The following is a 27336-nucleotide window of genomic DNA, read 5'->3' as shown; positions in this document are numbered from 1 at the left end:
CTCCGCTGGTCTGGCCTTCGACCAATGGAAGCATTATGGCCGATGGCCAATGGGAGCCCCCACCCGCTGGCCTCTGGCCAATGGGAGCACTCAGCTAAGGCTGGTGGGGGCGGTGTTGCTCGGGGCTGCGATGCCCCTTAGGTTGCGGGCAACCAGAGGCCTCACTCGTGGGCAGGAAGCAAGGGCGGACCCCGAGAGATGACTGATTGTGGGGGTGGGGACCGTCTGCTCCTCCTAATGGCTGGGGACCGTGCACGTCTGCGCGGGCCGGACCTGCTCTTCTCGGGAACTTGCGCGGGAGGAGGCCCGGAGCTGCGCCGCTTTACCCTCTGCTCCCCGGTGCCTAAAACGCACACGCATCAAAGTCACAGGACGAGTTAGAGGTTTGTTCATATAAAAGACTTTGGGCTTAGCGGCTGGAAGCGGGGAGGCTGGGAGCGGTGGTTGTGTTACAGGAAAGGGGTCCGATTCAGACCCCAAGGGAGGGTTCTTGGATCTCGCGCAAGAAAAAATTCAGGGCGAGTCCGCAGTGCAAAGTAAAAGCAAGTTTGTTGAGAAAGTAAAGTTGTGAAACAGCTACCCCATAGACAGTAGGACGTTCCTGAAAGTAAGAGGAACGTATGCACCCTAGGTACAATGCTTGTGTATATTTGGGCTAAAAATAGATTTTGGGGAGATGTGCTCTGCTACAAGGGTTTGTGAAAAAGGATTAATTTTCTTACTGTATTTTTCAAGAATCGATATTATTTTTAAAGCAAAATTAGGAATGCCTTTGTTCTCTAGATACCGGGATATCTGGACACTCCCAAGTCTGGGTCTGTTTTAGTACCCATTATTAATTTGTTCCCTTAACCGTAAACATCTAGAGGTTAGGAATACCTACTTTTCTGGGAATGCAGCCCAGCCTCATTTTCCTAGCCCTCACTCAAAATGGAGTCGCTCTGGGTCGAATGCCTCTGACAGCCCTATTGCTTCTCCCTGTGGGTGTTCACTTTGTGATGTGTCTTTTTCTGTGGGTCTGTTGTAGTCCATTAAAATGTTTATTAAAGGTCGGGCGCGGTGGCTAACGCCTATAATCCCAGCACTTTGGGAAGTCGAGGCGGGTGGATCACGATGTCAGGAGCTCGAGACCAACCTGGCCAATATGGTGAAACCCCGTCTCTACTAAAAATACAAAAATTAGCCCGGCGTGGTGGCGGGCACCTGTAGTCCCAGCTTCTCGGGAGGCTGAGGCAGGAGAATCGCTTGAACCTGGGAGGCGGAGGTTGCCGTGAGCCGAGGTCAGGCCACTGCACTCCAGCCTGGGTGACAGAGCAAGACTCCGTCTCAAAAAAAAAATAAAAAGTTATTAAAAAAGAAAAATGGGGAAGCAGATTTCCATTCAAAAATGTTGCATTCAAACCACAACAATTTTTAACTTTTTTAAATTTTACCAAGAGCCAGACACATAGCAGGGAACAGTATAGTTACTTGTTATTTGCTCACCCCCATGGGGCTGATGGTGTAGTCTGAGGGACTGAAGATCAACCATGACATGGCCCTTCACACCGTGTTGAAGGGGTGAAGACGTTACCAGTGGGGACGGAGGAGCTGACTCCCGAGGGGCTCAAGCTGGCCACACTCTCTCAGATCCTTCTGGCCGACTCCTGAGGGCTCAAGCTGGCCACACTCTCTCAGATCCTTCTGGCCCTGTACCGTCTCTGCTTTTTGCTGGGCCTCGTTCCTGAGAAGGAGCAGGTGTTAGGCAAGTTACACAAAATTATGAGAGGACATGGTTTTGGACTGAGCTCCTGCTCTAGGCCTCATGAGACCAGACCAAACCAAGACAGAGTCACTTAGGCTAAATGCCACATAATCAGACTGATACTTTAAGCAGGTAGATCCCTAAACAAACCAGATTTCCAGTCTACCTGAGCAGCATAATAAGGAAGTCCCCTCTGCTTTAATCCTTACAAGAAAAGTAACCTAGTGTTAACTAATTAGCCTTTTCTCTATCTTACAAAAACCACTATTCTACCATTTGCCCCGTGGGAGCTCTCATTCCGTTTTGCAGAGTGGAGGCTGCCCAGATTCATGAATCACAAATAAAAGCCAATTCGATCTTTAACCAAATTTGTTAAAATTCTGTCTTTTGGCTGGGTGTGGTGGCTCACGCCTGTGAGTGAATCCCAGCACTTTGGGAGGCTGAGGTGGGTGGATCACCTGAGGTCAGGAGTTTGAGACCACCCTGGCCAACATGGTGAAACCTTGTCTCTAATACAAATACAAAAATTAGCCAGGTGTGGTGGCGGGCACCTGTAATCCCAGATACTCAGGAGGCTGAGGCAGGAGAATCGCTTGAAACTGGGAGGCGGAGGTTGCGATTAGCTGAGATTGCGCCACTGCACTCCAGCCTGGGCGACAGAGTGAGACTCCATCTCAAAAATAAAATAAAATAAAAATAAAATTCTGACTTTTGACAGATGTCTTCACTCACCTGAGCAAGTGGCAGCTGCTGTGGGAACTGGATCAGGCAGCCTTCCAGGAGACTAAATCTGTCTTCTATTGGGAGTCCCAAAAAGCTCCCAGGCAGCATCCCCTTCTCTGTAGGCAGAGAAGGTACTAGGAGGATCTATTGCCTTCCCCTGCACAGTGGCCACCAGTGTTGGAGAGGTAGGGGCAGGTGTGCAAAGATCTATTCTCTTTAGGGGAAACCTGTGTGTTCTTTTTTTGTTGTTTATTTGTTTTTTGAGACAGGGTCTCACTCTGTTGTCCAAGCTGGAATGCAGTGCTGCAATCTTGGCTCATTGTAACCTCCACTTCCCAGGCTCAAGTGATCCTGCATCCTTAGCCTCCTGAGTAGCTGGGAGCACAGGTGAGAGCCACCACACTGGGCCAATTTTTGTAGAGACTGGATTTTGCCATGTTGCCCAGGCTGGTCTTGAACTCCAGAGCTCAAAGCAATCTTATCTGCCTCAGCCTCTGAAAGTGCTGGGATTACAGGAATGCGCCACTGCACCCGGCCCTGTGTATTCATTTTGGAGCCAGTCACTGGGCTCAGCTTTCCTCCTAGTTCTAATGGTGTGGAATCTGTGATTTTGATGTCCTATTATTTCCTCTTTCCTTTTTTTTTTTTTTTTTTTGAGACAGGGTCTCACCTGTTGCCCACTCTGGAGAGCAGTGGTGTGATCACAGCTCACTGCAGCTTCAACCTCTTGGGCTCAAGGGATTCTCCCACCTCAGCCTCATGCTACCATGCCTGGCTAATTTTTGTATTTTTTGTAGAGACAGGGTTTTGTGATGTTGCCTAGGATGGTCTTGAGCTCCTGATTTCAAGCAGTCCATCCGCCTTGGCCTCCCAAAGTGCTGGAATTACAAAAACGGTGCCCAGCCTATTTTTTTTTTCTTTTCTAGTTCTTGTTTATCTCCTTGATTATAAGGTAGGAGTTTGTCTATTGCAGTAGTTCTTAAAGTGTGGGTCAGGGAGCCCTGGGCGTTCCTGAGATCCTTTCAAGGGATCGGTGGGTTCAAAACTAAATTCATAATAATAATGAGATGTTGGCTTTTTCTTTTGTTGCCAGAGGGCTCAGGAAGGTCACCGGATGCCAGTGCCAGTTGGTGTCCAGGTTCTTGAAGCCATCACAGGAAAGAATTCAGGGATAAGTCAGAGTAAGCAGAAAGGCAAGAAGCTTTCATTGCAAAGTGAAAGGAAACACGGGAGACAAGTGTGGGGGGGCTCCTGGCTCCTGAGTCACACCCAACATTGTTTGCATTTCTCATTTTATGGGTGTTTAATTATGGGTGGAATAGTCATTCGGTATCTGGAAAAGGAGGGGATTTCAGGCACCACCCTCCCCCTGCCCCACCCCAGTTACCACCCCCTTTCTCCCTTATTTGGGTTTGCCTGGAAGAGTCATGGACCTGTCACCCTGACCAGGGTTTTGGCTGTCTTCTCTCCCTTATTTTGGGTTTTGTTATTCTGTGGTTTCTTTGCCTACTGCTTGTTTTAGTTGTCGTTTGGGTTTTTCCATTCTCCTGGACTACCCAGTGCTATTCCTCTCTCATTTTCATAGGAATATACAATAGAGTTTTCCAGAGGCTGCTGGATGAGTCATATTGTAACAGATGCAATGGGAACATGGAGCTATGGGAACTCAACTGCCTTAAGTGAAGCCAGACATTAAGGAGATTTGAAAAAATATAATACAATGCCACTCTTCTCCCTATTTCTGTTTTGGAAAATGCTGTTTTTCGTAAAGTAGGTGCTTTTTAAAAAATATGTTGTATTAGTCATGAGGGCTCTGGTAACAACATACCACAAATGGGGTGGCTTAAACGACATAAATTTATTGTTACAGTTGTGGAAGCCAGAAGTCTGAGATCAAAGTGTTGGCATAGTTGGTTCCTTCTGAGGGCTACAAGAAAGTATATGTTCCATCCCTTTCCTTAGTTTTTGGTGGTTTGCTGGCAATCTCTGGCATTCCTTGGCTTGTAGATGTCTGACTTTGTCTTCAAATGTCATTTTCCCTGTATGCGTGACAAGTTGTCTGTCTCCAAATTTCTGTTTTTATAAGGACAACAGTCATAATGGACCAGGGCTCACTCTAATGACCTCATTTCAGCTCTTTAAAGACACTGTCTCCAAATAAGGTCTGAGGTACTATGGGTTAGAACTTCAACATATCAATTTTGGGAAGAGACACAGCTCAACCTATATATTAACATAGAATAGATTTTGAAAAATTATATTAATAAAATATATTAATTTTTTTCCGTTTTAATTCCTAATACACCAAATATTGATAGGACCTACATAAACAAAAACTGTTTAGGAGCCGGGCACGGTGGCTCACACTTGTAATCCCAGCACTTTGGGAGGCGGAGGTGGGCAGACCATGAGATCAAGAGTTCGAGACCATCCTGGCCAACATGGGGAAACCCCGTCTCTACTAAAAATACAAAAATTAGCCGGGTGTGGTGGCATGCGCCTGTAATCCCAGCTACTCGGGAGGCTGAGGCAGGAGAATCACTTGAACCCGGGAGGCAGAGGTTGCAGTGAGCTGAGGCCACGCCACTGCACTCCAGCCTGGCGGCAGAGCAAGACTCTGTCTTGGGGGAAAACAAAACAAAACAAAAACTGTTTAGGGTCTTCAGTGACTTTTAAGAGTGTGAAGGGGTCTTGAGACAAAAAACGTGAGACACACTTGTCTACAGAATAGGCTTTTTTTTTTTTTTTTGAGACAGAGTCTCACTCTGTCGCCCAGGCTGGAGTGCAGTGACACGATCTCGGCCCACTGCAATCTCCACCTCCCGGGTTCAAGCGATTCTCCTGCCTCATCCTCCCAAATAGCTGGGATTACAGACACCCGCCACCACGCCCGGCTAATTTTTTGTATTTTTAGTAGAGACAGGGTTTCGGCCTGTTGGCCAGGCGGGTCTCTATCTCCTGACCTGGTGATCCGCCCACCTTGGCCTCCCAAAGTGCTGGGATTACAGGCGTGAGCCATCGTTCCCGGCCTAGGCTTTAGGCAAGCTTTGGTATTTTGTATTCATGTTGATCATTTGATACAGAGTACTTATTTTTACTTAAACAGATGTAGTATTTTTATTTCCTCTTTGACCAAATAGCTGTTTCATATATATTCTAAAATACCCACAATTATTAATTTGTAATTTTGTTGTGCTATTAAAGTATATGATAATATGATTTTCTACTTTTTTGGTTTCTTTCTTCTTTTTTTTTTTGAGACAGAGTTTCGCTCTTGTTGCCCAGGCTGGAGTACAATGGTGCGATCTTGGCTTACTGCAACCTCCGCCTCCTGGGTTCAAGCGATTCTCCTGCCTCAGCCTCCCAAGTAGCTGGGATTACAGGCATGCGCCACCACACCCGGCTAATTTTTGTAATTTTAGTAGAGATGGGTTTCACCATGTTAGCCAGGATGGTCTCGATTTCCTGAACTTGCAATCTGCCCAACTCGGCCTCCCAAAGTGCTGGGATTACAGGCATGAGCCACCGCGCCCGGCCTTTTTTTCTTTTCTTTTCTTTTTTTTTTTGAGAAGGAGACTCGCTCTGTAGCCCAGGCTGGAGTGCAGTGGCACGATCTCAGCTCACTGCAACCTCCGCCTCCCAGGTCCCGGTTCAAGCAATTCTCCTGCCTCAGCCTCCTGAGTAGCTGGATTTACAGGCACGCACCACCACGTCTTTTAGTAGAGACGGGGTTTCACCATGTTGGCCAGGCTGGTCTTGAACTCCTGACCTCATGATTCTCCCGCCTCAACTTCTTCTTGATAAGAATTCTGGAAAATCAAATCTTCAAGGACTAACCCACTCCCTTTAAATCCAAGGGATTATTTTTATTTTTATTTTTAAAGAAACAGGGTCTCACTCTGTTGCCCAGGCTGGAATGCAGTGGTGCAATCTCAGCTCACTGCAGCCTCAACTTCTCAGGCTCAAGTGATCTCACACCTCAGCCTCCTGAGTAGCTGGAACAACAGGCGCGTGCCACCACACCTGGTTTTTTATTTCTTGCAGAGACAGAGTCCTGCCATGTTGCCCAGTCTAATCTCAAACTCACGGCCTCAGTTGATCCTTCCACCTGGGCCTTGGTCTGTTAGGATTACAGGTGTAAGCCACCACACCCATCCAACTCCAGGGGATTCTAGGAAGCCAAGGAACCTTCCTGCCCTGCCTGCTGAAATAAACTCAAACTGGCCAAACAGACAAGTCTGACATCTTTTCTTTATGCTTTTTTTTTTTTTTTTTCCTGTCAAGGAGTCTCACTCTGTTGCCCAGGCTAGAGTGTAGTGGGGCAATCTCGGCTCATTGCAATCTCCAACTCCCGGGTTCCAGCGATTCTCCTGCTCAGCCTCCCAAGTAGCTGGCATTACAGGCACCCACCACCACGCCCAGATAATTTTTGCATTTTTAGTGGGGACAGGGTTTCACCATGTCGGCCAGGCTGGTCTTCAACTCCTGACCTCAAGTGATCCGCCCGCCTCGGCCTCCCAAAGTGCTGGGATTACAGGCATGAGCCACTGCGCCCAGCCTGCTCTTGCTTGATTTTTTAAATTGTCAGATCACTAATACAGAGACACCGAATCAAAAGGAGAGTAGGACAGTTGTTCATAATCCCACAAATCAAATGCTTACCTCCTCATGTACCATTGCTTCTCTCACCTATAGGCACACATTTGAAATAATTTGTTAGTTATCCAAATAAGAAGTGAACCACCAGGGAATTAAATGCTATGGGCTTAAAAGGGAAAGTACTCATCTCCTGCCCCAGTCACTCATCCTCTCAGCCTCCCGACATCACTTTTTTTTTGAGATAGGGTCTCACACTGTCACATAGGCTGGAGTGCAGTGATATAATAACAGCTAACTGCAGCCTCAACCTCCTGGGGTCAAAGAATCCTCCCAACTCAGCTTCCTGAGTAGCTGGGACTTCAGGTATGTGCTACTATGCCCGGCTAATTTTTGTATTTTTTGTAGAGACCAGGTCTCGCCATGTTGCCCAGGCTGGTCTCCAACTCTTAGGCTCAAGTGATCCACCTGCCTCAGCCTCCCAAAGCACTGGGATTACAGGTGTGCACCACCATATCCACTGCACCCACCTCCAGCCACTTTTAACCATATCTGTTCCAATTCTTCTTGAGGACACCTCCGTAATTCTAATCTTTGATCATCTTTAGTCTTTTTTTTTTTTTTTTTCCTGGAGACGGAGTCTGACTCTGTTGCCCAGGCTGGAGCACAGTGATGCAATCTCAGCTCACTGCAACCTCCACTTCCTGGGTTCAAACGATTCTCCTGCCTCAGCCTCCTGAGTAGCTGGGATTACAGGTGCCCACCACCACGCTGGGCTAATCTTTGTATTTTTAGTAGAGACAGAGTTTCACCATGTTGGCCAGGCTGGTCTCAAACTCCTGACCTCAGGTGATCCACCCACCTCAGCCTCCCAAAGTGCTGGGATTACAGGCATAAGCCACCGCATCCAGCCAATCATCTTTAGTTTTCACTAACTTCCTGCTCTGACAGGTGAGGATCTGACTCACATCCGCTGCCAATTCCTCTCATATTACATTTCAAGCTTTAATTTTCATCTTCTAAATAAACTTACATATCATGTTTAAAAGCCTACTTCCTAAAAGGATGGTAAGGGAAACCTCTACTCTCCACTACTACTTTCCCCATCTACTCTCCCACATCTGCAGGTGGGGCTGACATTGTCAGTGACAGGAATAATGACAACAGTGCCCTACCCTACGGCCACTATGAAGTTGTCAGGTCACAGCCATGTGTTACTTCCTAAAAATTAAAAGCCAATACAGGCCGGGTGCAATGGCTCATCCCTGTAATCCCAGCACTTTGGGATGCCAAGGTGGGCGGATCACAAGGTGAGGAGTTGGAGACCATCCTGACCAACATGGTGAAACCCTGTGTCTACTAAAAATACAAAAATTAGCTGGGCGTGGTGGCACGTGCCTGTAATCCCAGCTACTCAGGAGGCTGAGGCAGGAGAATTGCTTGAACCCGGGAGGCGGAGGTTACAGTGAGCCAAGATCGCGCCACTGCACTCCAGACTGGGCAACAGAGACTCCTTCTCAAAAAAAAAGAAAAAAAAAGCCAATACCTAGGGTTCACGTCACAGCTATGCAAATGCCATTCCCTGAAGGGTCAATCAACAATCTGACTGCATCTCCTCCTCCTTTATTCAAATTTCATGAGCTTTTTGCCCCCTCCAGCAAGAATTACTCACATCAGTGTCAAGTGAACACTACTTTCTAAAGTTACCTTCACATAGGAACTATAACCATCTAGCAGAATTTGTATAGTTTGAGCACAATTTACCTTGAAGCCTTCAATTAAAATTACCTTTTTTTTTAAGTTATGGGTGAATAAACATTCCTTTTCTTGCCCTATTCCTTTTCTAGATTAAAGCTATTCCTTTCTTAGATTCAAAACTATTTTCTCTAGAGAAGGTTCTGCCATGCCATTTGCTCTGTTTTGAGACAGAGTCTCATTCTGTCGCCCAGGCTGGAGTCCAGTGGCATGATCTAGACTCATTGCAACCTCTGCCTCCCAGGTTCAAGTGATACTCCTGCGTCAGCCTCCTGAGTAGCTGGGATTGCAGGCATTTATCACCACACTTGGCTAATTTTTGTATCTTTAGTAGAGACAGGGTTTCACCATCTTGGCCAGGCTGGTCTCAAACTCCTAACCTAGAGTGATCCACCTGCCTCGGTCTCCCAAAGTGCTGGGATTACAGGCGTGAGCCACCATGCCAGCCCTGCCATCTTTTTTTTTTTTTTTTTTTTTGAGACAGAGTCTCGCTTTGTCGCCCACGCTGGAGTGCAGTGGCACAATCTTAGCTCACTGCAACCTCCACCTCCTGGGTTCAAGCAATTCTCCTACCTCAGCCTCCCAAGTAGCTGGGATTACAGGTGTGAGCCACCATGCCCGACCCTGACATTTTTTTTGTTTGTTTTTTTTTGAGACAGAGTCTCGCTTTGTCGCCCAAGGCTGGAGTGCAGTGGCACAATCTTAGCTCACTGCAACCTCTACCTCTCGAGTTCAAGCGATTCTCCTGCCTCAGCCTCCTGAATAGCTGGGATTATAGGCGGCTGCCACCATGCCTGGCTAATTTTTGAATTTTTATTAGAGATGAGGTTTCACAATGTCGGCCAGGCTGGTCTCAAACTCTTGACTTCAGGTGATCTGCCTGCCTCAGCCTCCCAAAGAGCTGGGATTACAGGCGTGAGCCACCACGCCCAGCCTGCCATCTGTTTTTAGTCGTGGTGTTCTCAGTTTTCCACGATGCATGGGTCTTATTAATTCTGATAATAATGGCATGACCTGAAAATTTCCTTTCAGCCCTGGGGAAGTTTCCCTTTCTTTTTCTTACTTATTTGTTCAATGTGGAAAGTAAAAGTTCCTCTTCAAAGTTTCCCTTCTTGTTAAAGAATAAATCATAAGTGTTAAAAAATAATAGTTTCTTTTATAAACTAACTTCCTTGAAACCTCCTTGCTTTGTGCTAGTAAGTCTTTGTTAGGCCCTATCCTATGTAGCTGGTAAACATGCTCACAGGCACGTAGTACGTTCTATGTCCCTGTACCTTAACCAAGTTATTTGTGCTGGACATGCTCATGGTCACGTTCCAGCTTACAGCCTATGCTCCTTCCATATCTGGCATAAGCAACTTCCTCTTTTCCTTCGTCTTTCCACTACTTTTACCTATTTAGAAAAGTTTTAAACTGTTAGCTAATCTAGTTTTAGTTTAGATTGTGCAGGCTGGCTCCAGCCAACGGAGACAGGACACAGTAGCAGGGACAAACTGCCTAAGGAATAAAAATTGCTTCCCTCCTTTGTTCAGGTGTGCTCTTGCCATTGTTCCATCTGTGATGAGCACCCTTTCTGCAGAAAGTAAAAACGGCCTTGCTGAGAGAATTAAATTTATGTTTTGAGTGCTATTTCTTTGCAGCACCAGGCAACAAGCATTCTGTTTCTCACTAAACATTGTATCTATAACATTGAACAATCTTACTTGTAATTTCAAAGAGCCTGTTCTGGTTCTCATTGTTCTATTTTATCAAAGTATCTTATTTTTTATTTTTATTTATTTTTTCTGAGACGGAGTTTCACTCTTGTTGCCCAGGCTGGAGTGTAATGGCACTAGACCTCGGCTCACTGCAATCTCCACCTCCCAGGTTCAAGCGATTCTCCTGCCTCAGACTCCTGAGTAGCTGGGATTACAGGCATGCACCACCATGCCCGGCTAATTTTGTATTTTTAGTAGAAACAGGGTTTCTCCATGTTGGTCAGGCTGATCTCAAACTCCCAACCTCAGGTGATCCGCCCGCCTCGGCCTCCCAAAGTGTTGGGATTATAGGCGTGAGCCACTACGCCCAGTCTGTCTTATTTTTTACTGGTAACCCTCTTTTTTTTTTTGAAACGCAGTCTCGCTCTGTTGCTCAGGATGGAGTGCAGTGGCGTGATCTCGGCTCACTGCAAGCTCCTTCTCCTGAGTTCACGCCATTCTCCTGCCTCAGCCTCCCGAGTAGCTGGGACTACAGGTGCCCGCCACCATGCCCAGCTAATTTTTTGTATTTTTAGTAGGGACGGGGTTTCACCTGTTAGCCAGGATGATCTCGATCTCCTGACCTCGTGATACGCTTGCCTCGGCCTCCCGAAGTGCTGGGATTACAGGCGTGAGCCACCGCACCAGACCTTTTTTTTTTTTTTTTTTTTTTTTAGATGGAGTCTCGCTCTGTCACCCAGGCTGGAGTGCAATGGCATGATCTCGGCTCACTGCAACCTCTGCCTCAGCCTCCCAAGTAGCTGGGATTACAGGCGCCCACCACCACACTCAGCTAATGTTTGTATTGTATTTTTAGTAGATATGGGGTTTCACCATGTTGATCAGGCTGGTCTCGACCTCCTGACCCCACGATCCGACCGCCTCGGCCTCCCAAAGTACTGGGATTACAGGCATGAGCCACCACACCCGGCCTTGTAACCCTTTCTTGACTCACTTTTACGTTAACAAAATGCTTTAAATATTTGATTCTGCTGGGTGCGGTGGCTCACACCTGTAATCCCAGCACTTTGGGAGGCCAAGGTGGGTGGATTACTTGAGGTCAGGAGTTTGAGACCAGCCTGGTCAACATGGTGAAACCCCGTGTCTACTGAAAATACAAAAAATAGCTTGGCATGGTGGCACGTGCCTGTAATCCCAGCTACTTGGGACATTGCGGCAGGAGAATTGCTTGAACCTGGGAGGCAAAGGTTGCAGTGAGCCGAGATCGTGCCACTGCACTACAGCCTGAGCAACAGAATGAGACTCCGTCTCAAAAAACAAAGAATATTTGGTTCCTCTGAATATCTGTCTTTTCTGCTGTCTTAGATACCTTCTCTCATGATGGAGACTTTATCTTTTGCTCCTTGCCTCCCACCCATATTGAAGAGACTATCAGAAAGCAGACAGGAAGCTCCACAGACAGGCGGGGCTGCTTTAACAGTACGCTTTGCTCGAGGGTGAAGAGGGCGAGAACCAGCTATCAGGTAAAAAGTTCTGAAATGCCAGAATAAAGCAGCCCTTGCTGCAGAGCAAAATACATCAGATTCCCTTGTCCCCTGAACTAATCTTTTAGCACATGACTCCTTCCCTACTTTAATTTTTGCTACCCACAGCCAGATAGGTAATGCCAGGCAAGAAAAAAAAATGGGGAAGAGTCTGAGTTTCATGGACAGACCTTCGATTAACCCACTTTCTGGTCTATCAGTCTATGGCTCTGCTGGGGCTGCCACATCTGCTGCCACAGCCTCTCCTCGCCTGACCCTCTCCAGCCTTCCTCATTCTGTATGTTTCGCTATTGGCTATACTTCCATCTTTTTTTTTTTTTTTTTTTTTTTTTGAGACCGAGTCTCACTCTGTCGCCCAGGCTGGAGTGCAGTGGCATGATTTTGGCTCACTGCAAGCTCTGCCTCCTGGGTTCATGCCATTCTCCTGCCTCAGCCTCCCTCGTAGCTGGGACTACAGGCACCTGCCACCACACCTGGCTGATTTTTTGTATTTTCAGTAGAGACGGGGTTTCACTGTGTTAGCCAGGATGGTCTTGATCTGACCTCGTGATCCACCCTCCTTGGCCTCCCAAAGTGTCGGGATCACAGGCGTGAGCCACCGCACACAGCCCTTTTTTTTTTTTTTTTTTTTTTTGAGACAGAGTCTCGCTTTTCGCTTTTTTGCCCAGGCTGGAGTTCAACGGCGCAGTCTCGGCTCACTGCAACCTCCACCTTCTGGGTTCAAGTGATTTTCCTGCCTCAGCCTCCCGAGTAGCTGGGATTACAGGCACATGCCATGACACCTGGCTAATTTTTTGTACTTTTAGTAGAGATGGGATTTCACCATGTTGGCCAGGCTGGTCTCGAACTCCTAACCTCAAGGGATCTGCCTGCCTCGGCCTTCCAAAGTGCTGGGATTACAGGCATAAGCCACCATGCTCACCCTCCCATTGGCTCTTATCCTGCTTAAATGTGCAGTAATAGTATGCACTATGGCTCATGCCTGTAATCCCAGGACTTTGGGAGGCCAAGGCTGGAGATCACTTGGGCCCAGGAGTTCAAGACCAGCCTGGGCAACATGGTGAGACCTCGTCTCTAAAAAAATAAATTTAGCCAGGCTTCATGTCACATGCCTATGGTCCCAGCTACTTAGGAGGCAAGGACAGGAGGATCAGTTGATCCAGGCTGAGGCTGCAGTGAGCCATGACTGCGCCACTGCACTCCAGCCTGGGTGACAGAGCAACAGCCTGTGTCAAAAAATAAAAATAAATGCGGCCGGGTGTGGCGGCTCATGCCTGTAATCCCAGCACTTTGGGAGGCCGAGGTGGGCGGATCATGAGGTCAGGAGATCAAGACCATCCTGGCTAACATGGTGAAACCTTGTCTCTACTAAAAGTACAAAAAATTAGACAGACGTGGTGACGGGTGCCTGTAGTCCCAGCTACTCAGCAGGTTGAGGCAGGAGAGTGGCGTGAACCCAGGAGGTGGAGCTTGCAGTGAGCAGAGATCATACCACTGCACTCCAGCCTGGGCAACAGAGTGAGACTGTCTTAAATAAATAAATAAATAAATAAATAAATAAATATGCAGACATGGCCTCTTCTAGTCTCCCCACTACTGTCAATTTACATTTTTTTCTTTTAGGAAACATGTTGCTGAGTGGACCAATTTAAATTATGTGCTTGTAACCTTCTGTGAACATACTACTTGGGCTCCTGTTTTCACATCCCCTGATAAGTATTTTCCATATTAACATGCTGCCAGTTCTGATTACAATCAAACCAACTGAGCAACAAAGTTAAAGCACAACCGAATCCCTGAAATATTCAGAGTCCAATATTTTGTTGTTTTTGGAGACACAGTGTTGCTCTGGTGCCTAGGCTGGAGTGCAGTGGTGTGATCTCAGCTCACTGCAGGTGAGACCATCCCCCCCACCCCCAGGCTCAAGTAATACTCCTGCCTCAGCCTCCTGAGTAGCTGGGACTACAGGTGTGCAGCTCCATGCCCAGCTAATTCTATTTTTTGTAGAGATGGGGTCTCAACATGTTGCCCAGACTGGTCTCAATCTACTGGGCTCAAGTGATCTGCCTGGCCGCTCGGTCTCCCAAAGTGCTGGGATTACAGGCATGAGCCATTACAGCCAGCTCAGGGTTTTTTGTTTGTTTGTTTGTTTTTTTGAGACACAGTCTTGCCCTGTTGCCCAAGCTAGAGTGCAGTGGCATGATCTCAGCTAACTGCAACCTCTGCCTCCCAGGTTCAAGCAATTCTCATGCCTCAGCCTCCCAAGTAGCTGGATTACACATGTGTGCCACCACACCCGGCTAATTTTTGTATTTTTAGTAGAAATGGGGTTTTGCCATGTTGGCCAGGCTGGTCTTGAATGCCTGTCCTCAAGTGATCCACCCACCTCAGCCTCCCAAAGTGCTGGGATTACAGGCATGAGCCACCAAGCCTCACCAGAGTCCTTTTTTTTTTTTTTTTTTGAGATGAAGTTTCCCTCTTGTTGCCCAGGCTGGAGCACAATGGCTTGATCTTGGTTCACTGCAACCTCTGCCTCCCAGGTCAAGATTCTCCTGCCTCAGCCTCCCGAGTAGCTGGGATTACCACCACCACACCTGGCTAATTTTCGTATATTTCGTCGAGACGGGGTTTCTCCATGTTGGTGAGGTGGGTCTCGAACTCCTGACATCAGGTGATCCGCCTGCCTTTGCCTCCCGAAATGCTGGGATTACAGGCATGAGCCATTGTGCCTGGCCTGTATTTTTTTTTTTTTTTGAGACAGTCTTGCTCTGTTGCCCAGGCTGGAGTGCAGTAGTGTGATCTCAGCTCACTGCAAGCTACGCCTCCCATGTTCGCGCCATTCTCCTGCCTCAGCCTCCTGAGTAGCTGGGACTACAGGAGCCCGCCACCATGCCTAGCTAATTTTTTTGTATTTTTAGTAGAGACAGGGTTTCACCATATTAGCCAGGATGGTCTCAATCTCCTGACCTCGTGATCCACCCACCTTGGCCTACCTAAGTGCTGGGATTACAGGTGTGAGGCACCGTGCCCGGCCCCTGGCCTGTATTTTTAATAGAGACAGTTTTGCCATGTTTGCCAGGCTGGTCTCAAACTTCTGACTTCAGGTGATCCACCCACCTCAGCCTTCCAAAGTGCTGGGATTACAGGCATGAGCCACCATGCCCACTCACCTGTGTGATTTTAGAAACTGCAGACTCCTGGATTTTACTGCCAGAGATTTTTATTTAGTTGGCTAGAGTGAGCTTGGTAATACACAGTTTCAGTGCACACTCCAGGCAATTCTGATGCACATGGTCATGAAGCCCCACTCTGAGAGTCATGTTTTGGCCACCTGATTTCTAGTAAACAAGGTCTGGCAGGGAAATTTCCCATCTTGGTTATTATTTATTTAGAGTGTCTCAATCTCTCACAAGGCAGCGGTGTGATGGCATGATCACAGCTCACTGCAACCACCGCCTCCCAAGCTCAAGTGATCCTCCCACCTCAGCCTCCTGAGTAGCTAGGACTACAGGTATGCGCCACCATGCTAGGCTAATTTTTGTATTTTTTGTAAAGACAGGATTTTGCCATGTTACCCAGGCTGGTTTCAAACTCCTGGGCTCAAGTGATCCACCTGCCTCGGCCTCGCAAACTGCTGGGATTACAAGTGTTGGCAACTGCACCCGGCTCCATCTTGGTTATTCATAGAGTTTCTTGCCCATGAGCTTTCTCATGTTGAATAAGGAAAGTATCATAACTGGAAGCTTTTCCACATTTGTTAACATTCACAGGGCTTCTCTCCAGTATGAATTCTCTGCTGCCTAGTAAGTTGACACCGTTGGCTAAAGGCTTTCTCGCAATGGTCACATTCATAGGGTTTGCCTCCAGTGTGTGTCCTCTCGTGTTTACTAAGGGTTGAGCGATCATTGAAGGCTTTCCCACAATCAATGCATTCGTAGGGCTTTTCTCCAGGATATGTCCTCTGATGTTCAATGAGTCACAACCGCTGGCTTAATACACGTCACACTGATAGCTCTTCCCACCGACATGCGTCCTCTGGTGCATGATGAGGGGAGACCTCTGGATGAAAGCTTTCCCACAATGACTGCACTCCTAAGGTTTCTCTCCAGTATGTGTCCGCCGATGCACTACAAGTTGAGATTGCTGCCGGAAGGATTTCCCACAGTCACTACATTCATAGGGTTTCTCTCCAGAATGAATTCTGTGATGGGAAAGAAGGTTAGAGCTCCCTGAAAAGGCTTTCCCACACTGACTACACTCAAAAGGTTTCTCACCAGTGTGAGTTCTCTGATGCATCACAAGGTAGGAGCTCCTTGCAAAGGCTTTATTGCACTGATTGCATTTGTACGGCTTCTCCCCAGTGTGAATTTGCAGATGCCTGATGAGCTGAGTGCTTCGATTGAAGGCTTTTCCACACTCGTTACATTCATAGGGCTTTTCTCCAGTGTGAGTTCTTTTATGTGCAACTAACTGATAGCTTTGGCTGAAGGACTTTCCACAGTGAGTGCAATCGTACGGTTTCTCTCCAGTATGAATTCTCTGATGTATGACGAGGTTAGAGTTCCATCTGAAGGATTTCCCACATTCAATACACTGATACGGTTTTTCTCCAGTGTGAATTCGCTGATGCGTAATAAGTTTGGAACTCTGGGAGAAGGATTTCCCACACAGGTTGCACTCATAGGGCTTCTCTCCAGTGTGTGTCCTCTGATGTACAACAAGGTCATACTTCTGGCTGAAAGATTTCCCACACTGAGTACATTTGAAGGGTTTTTCTCCAGTGTGCGTTCTTTTATGTGTAACTAACTCATAGCTTTGGCTGAAGGACTTTCCACAGTGAGTGCACTCATACGGTTTCTCTCCAGTATGAATTCTCTGATGTACAATGAGGTTAGAGTTCCACCTGAAGGATTTTCTGCATTCAATACACTGATACGGTTTTTCTCCAGTGTGAATTCGCTGATGTGTAATAAGTTTGGATCTCTGGGTGAAGGATTTCCCACACAGGTCACACTCATAGGGCTTCTCTCCAGTGTGTGTCCTCTGATGTATGACAAGGTCATAGCTCTGGCTAAAAGATTTCCCACACTGAGTACATTCGAAGGGCTTTTCTCCAGTGTGTGTTCTCTGGTGTATGAGCTTACAACAGCTGAAAGATTTTCCACACTGATTACACACAGATGGCTTCTCTGTAGTCTGAATGATGTTACAGTCAGAAAAAGATGAGGCCATGGGGAAGGCAGCACAGCGTTCCTCACATCTGAAGGGGGTCTCTCCAGGGCCACTTCTTTCTGTTTGTACAAGGCACAGACTCTCAGAACAGGTTTCCCTGCACTCATCACACTCATACTGACTTTTCCCAAAATGCACTGGCTTCTGTTCATTCAGAGACACACTGTGACTGAAGAGGTTTCCATAATCCTTACAGTCATCACTTTTCTTCACTGAAAAAGTTCTACCATGAAAACAAAGGGAGGAACCATAGTTGAGAGAGTCACCACTGACAATATATTCATAAGGGTTTTTCTTTCCTGTTTCAACGTTTCCAAGTTTACTCAAGTAAATACTCTGACAGAAAGCTCTAGCACACTGATGACTCTCACAGTGCTTCCCATCTGCTCCATTTTTCTCATGATTAATGAAAGCTGAATTTTGTTTCAACTCTTTAACTTGTGAGTTGGGCTTAGGGAAACCTGTACTTGTAGGTAATGTTGTAGGTAGAAGGCTTAAAGTAGAAGGTAGAGAATAACCTCCCCCAAGTTCAAGCTCACAATGTTCCCTTTGAGCAAACAGTCTCTCTGAGGTGAGTACCATGAACCTCAAGGAGTTCTCCTGGTGTTCCCTTAACTGGTTGCTCTGATCTTGCACTTTTCCTAATACCAAAGAGGGTGGCTCCTCCGGTCCACTCCTGTACACTTCCACGTGGTGGGATAGTTCTTCCCTAGCTCGATCTTTTTCAGAATTCAACCTATTCTCCTCAAGGGTAGCTTTCCAGTCTGAAAGAAATCCAAAATGCCTAAGTTACTGGAGAAGCATCAGAGGGGGAGGGGGAGGGGGAGATGAAGGAGACAACTGTTTAATGGAAGTGTCTCTGGTTTGTTTCCAAACTACAAACTGTAATCCGTATGCAGGCTGTGAAAGGGAGGGATGGATCAGCAAACATGGTATCAGTGGTAAAGTGCAAAATACAAGCAAACATAATAAAGAAGTGACTAAGTAACACTAGTCCCCAAATAGAGGGCAGAAGAATAAGAATAAGCAGGGAGGGGCCAGGTGCAGTGGCTCACACCTGTAATCCCAGAACTTTGGGAGGCTGAGGCAGGTGGATCACCTGAGGTCAGGAGTTAGAGACCAGCTTGGTCAACATGGTAAAACCTCATCTCTAATAAAAATAAAAAAAAAATTAGCCAGGTGTGGTGGTGGGCGCCTGTAGTCTAAGCTCCTCGGGAGGCCGAGGCAGGAGAATCGCTTGAGCCTGGGAGGTGGAGGTTGCAGTGAACCAAGATCGGGCCACTGCATTCCAGTCTGGGTGAGAGAGTGAGACCCTGTCTCAAAAAAGAGAATAAGCAGGGAGGTGAAGATAAAAAGAGAAATCCACAGAATGAACTGGGTCTGCAGGATATAAAGCCATTAACCATTGCAAAAAGTATGTATGTTCTAAGCCCCTGGACTCTGTGAATGTGAACTTTTGGGAAAAAGGAACTGTCCAGATGTGATTAGAATTTTATTATTATTATTTACTTAGTTTTCTACAGTCAGGATCTTGCTCTGTTGAACAGACCGGATAACAGCACAATCATGGCTCACTGCAGCCTCAAACTCCTGGGCTCTTGTGATCCTCCCCGACTGGCCTCCCAAAGTGCTGGGATTACAGCCAAGCCAATGTACCCTTCTGTGATTAGTATTTTTATTTTATTTTGTTTTGTTTATTTTTGAGACAGAGCCTGGCTCTGTTGCCCAGGCTGAAGTGAAGTGGCATTATCTTGGCTAACTGCAACTCCACCTCCCAGGTTCAAGTGATCCTCCTGCCTCAGCCTCCTGAGTAGCTGGGATTACAGGTGCCTGCTACCACACCCTGCTAAAAATTTTTAAATGGGGATTTTTTTTCTGTACTATCCAGGGGGGCTCTAAATGTAATCACAAGTGTTCCTATAGGAGAAAGGCAGAGGGAGATTTGAAACACAGAGGAGGTGATGAGAAGACACAGCAGAAGATATCTGAAGACTGGAAAGAATGCTGCAACCAACAGGAGAAGGAAAAGACAGAAATGTGTTTTCCATTTGGAGCATCCAGAGGGAGCACAACCATATCAACACCTTGATTTTGATCCAGTGACATTGATTTTGGACTTGTGGCCTCCAGAACTTTTAGAGAATAAATTTGCATTGTTTTAAGCCAACAGGTTGGTGGAAATTTTTTACAGCAGCCACAGGAAGCAAACACAGACTCCTAACTGGTGCTTAGTCCTAGAATATCAGTTTCTGTTCCACTTCTGGATCTCATAATTGCATCTCAGACATCAACACTGACTTCATATTCTTAATGCACCAATTCTACCATTTCTTCAGGCTGCAAACAGAGAAAAACTTATTTAAGCATTCCAGAATTGACCCAATAGAAGACTCTCCAGAAAAGACTGCATGGTCTCTGAAGCAGCATGATCAGCATGACTGGCTGCATCTGGGCTCCACCGTTTGCCACTTCAGACAGGTCCTTAGCCTCTTAGAGGTTCATTTTCCTTGCTGTAGCCCGGAGTAAGAATGTTTAGCCTACAAGATTTATTTTGAGGCATCAATGAATCACTATGTGAGCCTCACACAGTGTCTGGCACTGATATTACAAAATATGGTTGATCTTGCCATCCTTGTTATTGTCCTGGTGGGGATTCCTCTCTGTTGAAGATACGGAGCCTCTAAAAATGAGTGGCAGAGGCTCCCAGCTCAGGATCCTTGTCCAGGTCCTAAAGATCCTCCACTCTGCTTGTCACTCTGTTCATTATGTTTGCATGGCCACCACGGTCAACACTACTGCGGCCTACCTCAAGTTCTCATGCCTCACTCTCTGAGCTCATGAGGACACAAGGATCCTTTGGCAACACATTAACTACACTCTGTGGCCATCCCTTGACTTCTGAGAGGATGTTTCCCTCCTCTCAATCAAAAGCTCTCTTCCCTCCTGGGCAAGATCCTTGCATGCACCCAGCACCCTCACACCTGGTGCCCTCACACCCAGCACTCTCACACGTGGTGCCCTCACACCCAGCACCCTCACACCCAGCACCCTCACACCTGGTGCCCTCACACCCAGCACCCTCACACCTGGTGCCCTCACACCCAGCACCCTCACACCTGGTGCCCTCGCACCCAGCACCCTCACACCTGGTGCCCTCGCACCCAGCACCCTCACACCTGGTGCCCTCGCAACCAGCACCCTCACACCTGGTGCCCTCACACCCAGTGCCCTCACACCCAGCACTCTCACACTTGCACTGTCCTCATCCCAACTCTGTGGTTCCTCTGGGGAATCACTGTGGAATCCCTCATGGGAGGATGTTTTCAAAAGAAACAACAGCCCAATGAAGGGTATTTGAGGATGAGAAGCAGGAAAGAAGTCAGTGGGTGGCTGAGTTGTGTCCAGGTTTTGCGTGGCCATGGAAAATCAGGTGAAGGACATTAAATATCTTGCAGTGGCTTCTCCATTAGGAGCATGAAATGAGGAAAGGGGCTGTCCTCACAGGCCAGCCAAGAGGGATGCCTATGCCAAACAGAAAGACTGACAGTAAACAGAATCCAGGATGACATGACTGAGGTATGGTGTGCAGGGCATGGCCCAGGGAGGAGGGTAGATAAGTAAGCCTGGGTGCACCTTCAGAGGAAGAAATAACAGAGGCTGCAGGCGAGAGAGTTACAAGGAAGGAGGAGCAGGAAGACACGAGAAAAATTCAGATAAACTCAACATCTCCAGCCTGGGGGAAACGTGAGAGGGTGGTATGAAGATACACACGATGCATGTTGCTTAGTGAAAGCAGCCAGTCGGAAAAGGCTACGTAGTGAATGACCCCAACTATGACATTCTGAAAAAGGCAAAACTATGGAGACAGGATAAAGATCAGTGGTTGCCAGTGAGGCAGGAGAATAGGGTCTGGGGGCAGGGAGCCTAAGGCTGATTCATGCTGACTTCATGAACGGAATCAAAAGGAAAACCCTAAATTTCCATGCCCACGTAACAAAAGGATCAGAGGCTACTCCCTTTGCAACTCCCCCCAACTTTCTGTGTTGCAGATGAAAAATGGAAAGTGCCTCGGATTGGTCCCCTCCTGCAACCAGTCAGACATCTGCATAGAGCGTAACTTTGTAACTTCACTTCAGCCTCTGCTTGGTCACCTTCCACAACCAATCAGACTGGTCATGGGCCACTATTTCATAGGGTGTAAACCAAGTGACCAATGGGAAACATCTAGAGGGTATTTAAACCCCAGAAAATTCTGCGACCAGTGCTTTTGAGCCTTGCTTGGGCCTGCTCCCACTCTGTGAAGTGCATTTTTGTTTCAATACAGCTATGCTTTTGTTGCTTCTTTTGTTGCTTTGTGTGTTTCGTCCAATTCTTTGTTAAAAATGCCAAGAACCAGCCAGGCGTGGTGGCTCATGCCTGTAATCCCAGCACTTTGGGAGGCCGAGGCGGGTGGATCACGAGGTCAGGAGATCGAGACCATACTGGCTAACATGGTGAAAACCCGTCTCTAATAAAAATACAAAAAATTAGACGGGCGTGGTGGTGGGTGCCTGTAGTCCCACCTACTCAGGAGGCTCAGGCAGGAGAATGGCGTGAACCTGGGAGGCGGAGCTTGCAGTGAGCAGAGATCGTGCCACTGCACTCCAGCTTGGGCAACAGAGTGAGACTGAAATGCCTAAGCTTGTTTTTACTCTAACTGGTTACTTTGAATTTTGTCCTGCTTGTCTCTTTAATCACCTAGCCTTGCTTCTCATGTAAATAAGACTCTCTCTAGCTGGGAAGGCCGGACAAACTCCAATTGACCCCTTAATTTACAAGACACTAAGGGCTCCTTACCCAACCCCCTTTCCTAAGGAGTTGGCCTGGGTAAACAGATCCTCAGCATTTCAAAAGAGCCCAATTAACTGATAAGGCACTAACACCAACAATGTATGAAGTTCCCAGGATTTTTCTCAAAGAGATAACAACAGAAAACCTTGAGTTTGTGTCCGGCATAGACCCTATATATCTAATTATAATGAAAGATTTAGAACCTTGCACGTGGTACCGTTGCTCTTCTTGTAACCGTTTAAGTTGTTTATCTCTCTGTAACCATTTTGCTTCTGTTGATTCTTGCATGTTTTTACTTCTGTAGACTTATTGCATTTGAGTCCCTCTCCCCTTCCTAAACCTAGGTATAAAAGTTAATCAAGCCCCTTCCTCGAGGCCGAGAGAATTTTGAGCATTAGCCGTCTCTTTGGCCGCCGGCTTAATTAAGGACTCTTAATTCGTCTCAAAGTGTGGCGTATTTTTAACTCGCTTGGGTACAACAAGACTCCATCTCAAAAAAAAAAAAGTAAAAGAACACAATGCCAAGAACATAGACACCCTCCACTGGTAACATATTTTGGTGAGCCAGCCAGGAGGTAGGCTCGAGGTTTGGGATTTCTTTCTTTTCTCTTTTTGTTTTCCCTTTTCCATATAGGGGAATCCTTTTCTCTCTCTCTTTTTCCCTTTCCAACTTACGGATCCTTGGTGGACAGCACATAAGCATGCAAGCAACTGTAAGTTTCTGGCCGGAGCCACTCTCTGGTGAAACGGAAAGATTTCTGTGTGGAAGTGCCTGACCGCTACCACCCAGTTCGGGTGAAGGACCTTAGTCCTTTTCCTTTTTCTCTTTTTCAGAAAATCTTTCAGCTGCCGTTTCCTACTAGTTCCTTGGTAACTGAGGGCAGCTGGCCAGGGCCACCCTCTGGTGTTGCCTGAAGGCCAAGGCGTAAATGGGGATAGCTGCCCTGCCCAGAAGGGGAAAAGACTCTTTTCTCTATTTTCCAGTTACAGTCCCTGATCCCTATCTGTGATGCAACTGGCAGCGGCAGCTCATCCAGGGCGAACTCACGCATATTTCAGGTGACTTAAATCCTCTTTTCTTATGCAAAATTCTCCTTAAAGTCAGCCTGTAAGGGCAAAAGATAATGTATCTCATGCATTTGACTTACCTTCTCTTACTCGATTTGACTGTCTGAAGACCTTTGGGATCCACAAGCTTCAGTAGACATTCTACATCTCAGACTTCACTGAGGGGATCCCATAGGTTGACGGTCATTGCTTCTGCATCAATTTGCTTTCCCTGAATCTCACAGAAATTCTCAACCCCAGCCAGGTGCAGTGGCTCACACCTGTAATCTCTGCACTTTGGGAGGCCAAGGCGGGTGGATCACCTGAGGTCAGGAGTTTGAGACCAGCCTGGCCAACATGGTGAAACCACAGCTCTACTAAAAATACAAAAAAATTGGCTGGGCATGGTGGCACACGCCTGTAATCCCCAGCTACTCAGGAGGCTGAGGCAGGAGAACTGCTTGAACTCGGGAGGCGGAGGTTGCAGTGACCCGAGATCATGCCACTGCACTCCAGCCAGCCTGGGCAACAAGACCAAAACTCCGTCTAAGGCTGGGCGCTGTGGCTCACACCTGTAATCCCAGCACTTTGGGAGGCTGAGGCGGGTAGATCACGAGGTCAGGAGATCGAGACCATCCTGGCTAACATGGTGAAACCCCATCTCTACTAAAAAGTACAAAAAATTAGCCGTGCGTGGTGGCGGGCGCCTGTAGTCCCAGCTACTCAGGAGGCTGAGGCAGGAGAATGGCGTGAACCCGGGAGGCGGAGCTTGCAGTGAGCCGAGATCGCGCCACTGCACTCCAGCCTGGGCGACAGAGTGAGACTCCATCTCAAAAAAAGAAAAACTCTGTCTCAAGAAAAAAAAAAAAAAAAGAAAGAAAGAAATTCTCAATCTCAGTCTTTCACATACCGCTGGATCCTTCCTTCACAGAGAATACCCCACCAACCTTGGTACTATTAACTCTGCAATGTTTCAGAACCTCCTTAGTCCTGTGAGGAATGCAGGAAGATACATCACACTGAAATTAGTGGGATACTAAAAGTCTGGGATTACGCCCAGGAACCAAAGGAAAGCTCACAGTAGACCATCGCCACTGGAGGGAAAACATATAAAGCAGCACTGGTGCCCACCTAAAGTCAGAGATGTCTGACACTCTAAGATTGGACCCCAAAGGGGGATCCTCTAGGGGATCCAACTCCAGACCTCAACCTCTCCAAAGGGGACACCCTAGGCTGAGGTTCTGAGGAATAGTACTACACCCTCCCTAGGATTTTCTCTCTTACAGACAATAATAGGAAACACTCCATCTATTCCATCTGACTCCCTGCTTGGCTGCATCCTCAACGACTGGAATAAATTTGACCCTGATAATCTAAGGAGGAAACACTTGATATTCTTTTGCAATACTGTTTGGCCCCAACATTGTTTGGAATCTGGAGTTTGCTGTTGAATGGGAAAGTGAGATGGAGTTGCATGTATCCAGGCATTTGTGCTGCTGTTCCTTTTTTTTTTTGAGATGGAGTCTCGTTCTGTCACCCAGGCTGGAGTGCAGTGTCGTGATATCAGCTTACTGCAAGCTATGCCTCCCGGGTTCACGCCATTCTCCTGCCTCAGCCTCTCAAGTAGCTGGGACTACAGGTGCCCGCCACCAGGCCTGGCTAATTTTTTGTATTTTTAGTAGAGATGGGGTTTCACCATGTTAGCCAGGATGGTCTTGATCTCCTGACCTCGTGATCCGCCTGCCTGGGATTACAGGCGTGAGCCACCGCACCCAGCCGACTTAAGTAAATCTTTACTAAAGAAGTTGGCTTTAAAATTATTGGTAAAATGAAAATAGAAATGTCTTCAGAATTGTCAACATATATGGTTTTATATTTGTCTTTGCAAGATATTTTAAGGTGTCAGTGTTTGGCACAGAAGGTTATAAAGGTATTAACCCAGCCAAAACAAAAAATGGTCCTGGTTTGTATGCTTTCTTTGACAAATGAGACTAGTTTGGCCGGGCATGGTGGCTAGTGCCTGCAATCCCAGCACTTTGGGAGGCCAAGGTGGGCAGATCACCCGAGGTCAGGAGTTCGAGACCAGCTTGGCTAACACAGTGAAAACCCATCTCTACTAAAAATAAAAAAAATTAACTGGATGTGGTGGTGCATGCCTGTTGTCCCAGCTACTCAGGAGGCTGATGCAGGAGAATCACTTGAACCCAGGAGATGAAGGTTGCAGTGAGCTGAGATTGTGCCTCTGTACTCCAGCCTGGGCAAAAGAGCAAGGCTCTGTCTCAAAAAATAAATAAACAAATCAGACTAATTTAATGTTGTTAGCTGAATCTTCTGAGTTATTGGCAAAAATACCTGTGTATTTAACTTTGAGGCTTTTTTTCAGTGAGCAAATGATATTCATTGGTAATAAAAAAATGGCTAACAAGGAAATAACTTTAGAGGATGGTGTCTACTATCTTAGTTTTCAGAAGTAATCTAGATAAAATGTTAAAATGAAAGAATTGAGTAAATGAAATTGGGATAAATGTTTTAGGTAAACTCTTTGTGTAACTTAAAATCTTAAAATTGTTTTTGATGTTCATTGGATATCTGGGTCATTTCCAATTAAGAAAGGATTATGGGTTGGGTGCGGTGGCTCACGCCTATAATCCCAGCACTTTGGGAGGCCAAGGTGGGTGGATCACAAGGTCAGGAAATCGAGCCCATCCTGGCCAACATGGTGAAACCCTGTCTCTACTAAAAATATAAAAGTGAGCTGGGTGTGGCGGCACGTGCCTGTAATCCCAGCTACTCGGGAGGTTGAGGCTGGAGAATTGCTTGAACCAGGGAGTCAGAGGTTGCAGTGAGCCGAGATTGTGCCACTGCACTCTAGCCTGGTGACAGAGCAAGACTCCGTCTCAAAAACATAATGATAATAAGTAAATAAAAAGGAAGGATTATGATACGGGGAAATATGTTTCTAAAAGTTGTGGAATTCTTCTCATCTATAAAATGCTCATATCTAATAGTTCAGGATTTCTTGCTTTTTAGGGTTTCACTAAAATTTAAGGTTACTAAGGATAAGAATTCTAGTTAACAAATGATTCTGTATACAAAAGGTGCCAAAAAAGATGTGCTATTGGTAAGAAAGAAATGATTTTGTGTAGTTCAGAGGTTGTCTAAAGGTTGATTCAGGTTGTTGACTTAAAAAAAAGGGTTATTTATGAAACAAGGTAGTAAGAAACCAGTAAGTACGGGAGAGAGAGGTGAAGAAAGTTATGTATATGAAGATGTATTCTTGGTAGGGAAGGATGTAGCAATAATAATTTTGTATGAGACAGGATCCTGTATGGTAAATTCTTGCCCTAAAGTTAAATGAATGGTTGTTTAAAGAGGGATGTTTAGGACAAGTCAGAAAGTCCAGGCATGTCATAGAAGGTCTGTGTAAGTCGTGAAAAGGATTCATGTAAAAAAAGTAGAATGTACTTTTGGTAAAAGGCATGAGAATATGGATTTCTTGCCAAAGTTTGGAGGGTTAAAAGACAAGCTGTAGAAGGTTTATGAAAAATTAATTGTAGAAGGGATTCTGTGTGTGAATATATTGGCTAAAGTTAAAGGGGAAGACTGGCAATTAGACCTCACTGATATGCCAGCTTGCAAAGGATAAAAGTTTCTGCCAGTACTAACAGACACCTTTATTGGCTGGGTTGAAGTGTACCCTACCAGAACAGAGAAGTTTAATGAAGTTATAAAGGTTCTCTTAAAGGAAATAATCCCCTGGTTTGGGTTACCTCAAAGCCTCCAAAGTGATAACAGCCCATCTTTTGTCTCCCAAATAACTCAAGGGGTTGCTAAGGTTCTCAGAATCAACTATTATTTACATTCAGCATGGAGACCTCAATCCTCCAAAAAAGTGGAAAGAGCTTAGCTAACTCTAAAATAGGAGTTCCTATGTCAGGAAACATCAGAAACTTGGATCTGCTTACTGCCCATAGCCCTCTTAAGAATCCATAATTCCCCTAGAGAAAAAATTATTATGAGCCCACACAAATGTTATACAAAAGGCCATTTTTAACTAATGATCTAATCTCTGATCCAGAAACATCCAGTTTAGTAAAATACCTAGTTAACCTGGGATTATTTCAGCAGGCTTTACAAGAGTTTGGAACTCAAAAGCTCCCCACACCAG

The 27336-nt window shown here is 46.4% G+C and overlaps 1 protein-coding gene and 1 long non-coding RNA gene across 58 annotated transcripts in view; one reads left to right on the top strand and one right to left on the bottom strand.

The window, feature by feature from the left end:
* The first annotated feature begins 163 nt into the window (after positions 1-163).
* Positions 164-21633, top strand: ZNF8-DT (ZNF8 divergent transcript). Of its 7 annotated transcripts, none has more exons than NR_187494.1 (4): positions 164-383; positions 11881-12038; positions 15473-15570; positions 19215-21633. It is a non-coding gene; the product is annotated as a ZNF8 divergent transcript (long non-coding RNA). The 7 variants fall into 7 exon arrangements; NR_187492.1 differs by lacking the exon at positions 11881-12038 and adding an exon at positions 4053-4241 and having other exon boundaries at positions 15477-15570; NR_187491.1 differs by lacking the exons at positions 11881-12038; positions 15473-15570 and adding an exon at positions 19001-19117.
* The window catches only part of ZNF544 (zinc finger protein 544), a 48542-nt gene continuing 22656 nt past the window's right edge, over positions 1451-27336 (bottom strand). For 21 of the 51 annotated variants that reach the window (NM_001387408.1, NM_001387392.1, NM_001387409.1 and 18 more), the window contains one exon: positions 15262-18055. In NM_001387408.1, the coding sequence (NP_001374337.1) occupies positions 18037-18055 (19 nt within the window). In that variant the 3' untranslated portion in view covers positions 15262-18036. Of the gene's footprint in view, positions 1724-2476; positions 2584-4306; positions 4541-7129; positions 7157-15261; positions 18056-18770; positions 19629-27336 lie in introns of those variants that run through there. The other 30 variants (NM_001387407.1, NM_001320774.2, NM_001320787.2 and 27 more) reach the window with 7 other exon arrangements.

Source organism: Homo sapiens, chromosome 19 (genome assembly GCF_000001405.40).
Source record: "Homo sapiens chromosome 19, GRCh38.p14 Primary Assembly".
In the NCBI taxonomy this organism is placed as follows: domain Eukaryota; kingdom Metazoa; phylum Chordata; class Mammalia; order Primates; family Hominidae; genus Homo; species Homo sapiens.
This window is presented reverse-complemented; position numbering and strand designations above follow the sequence as displayed.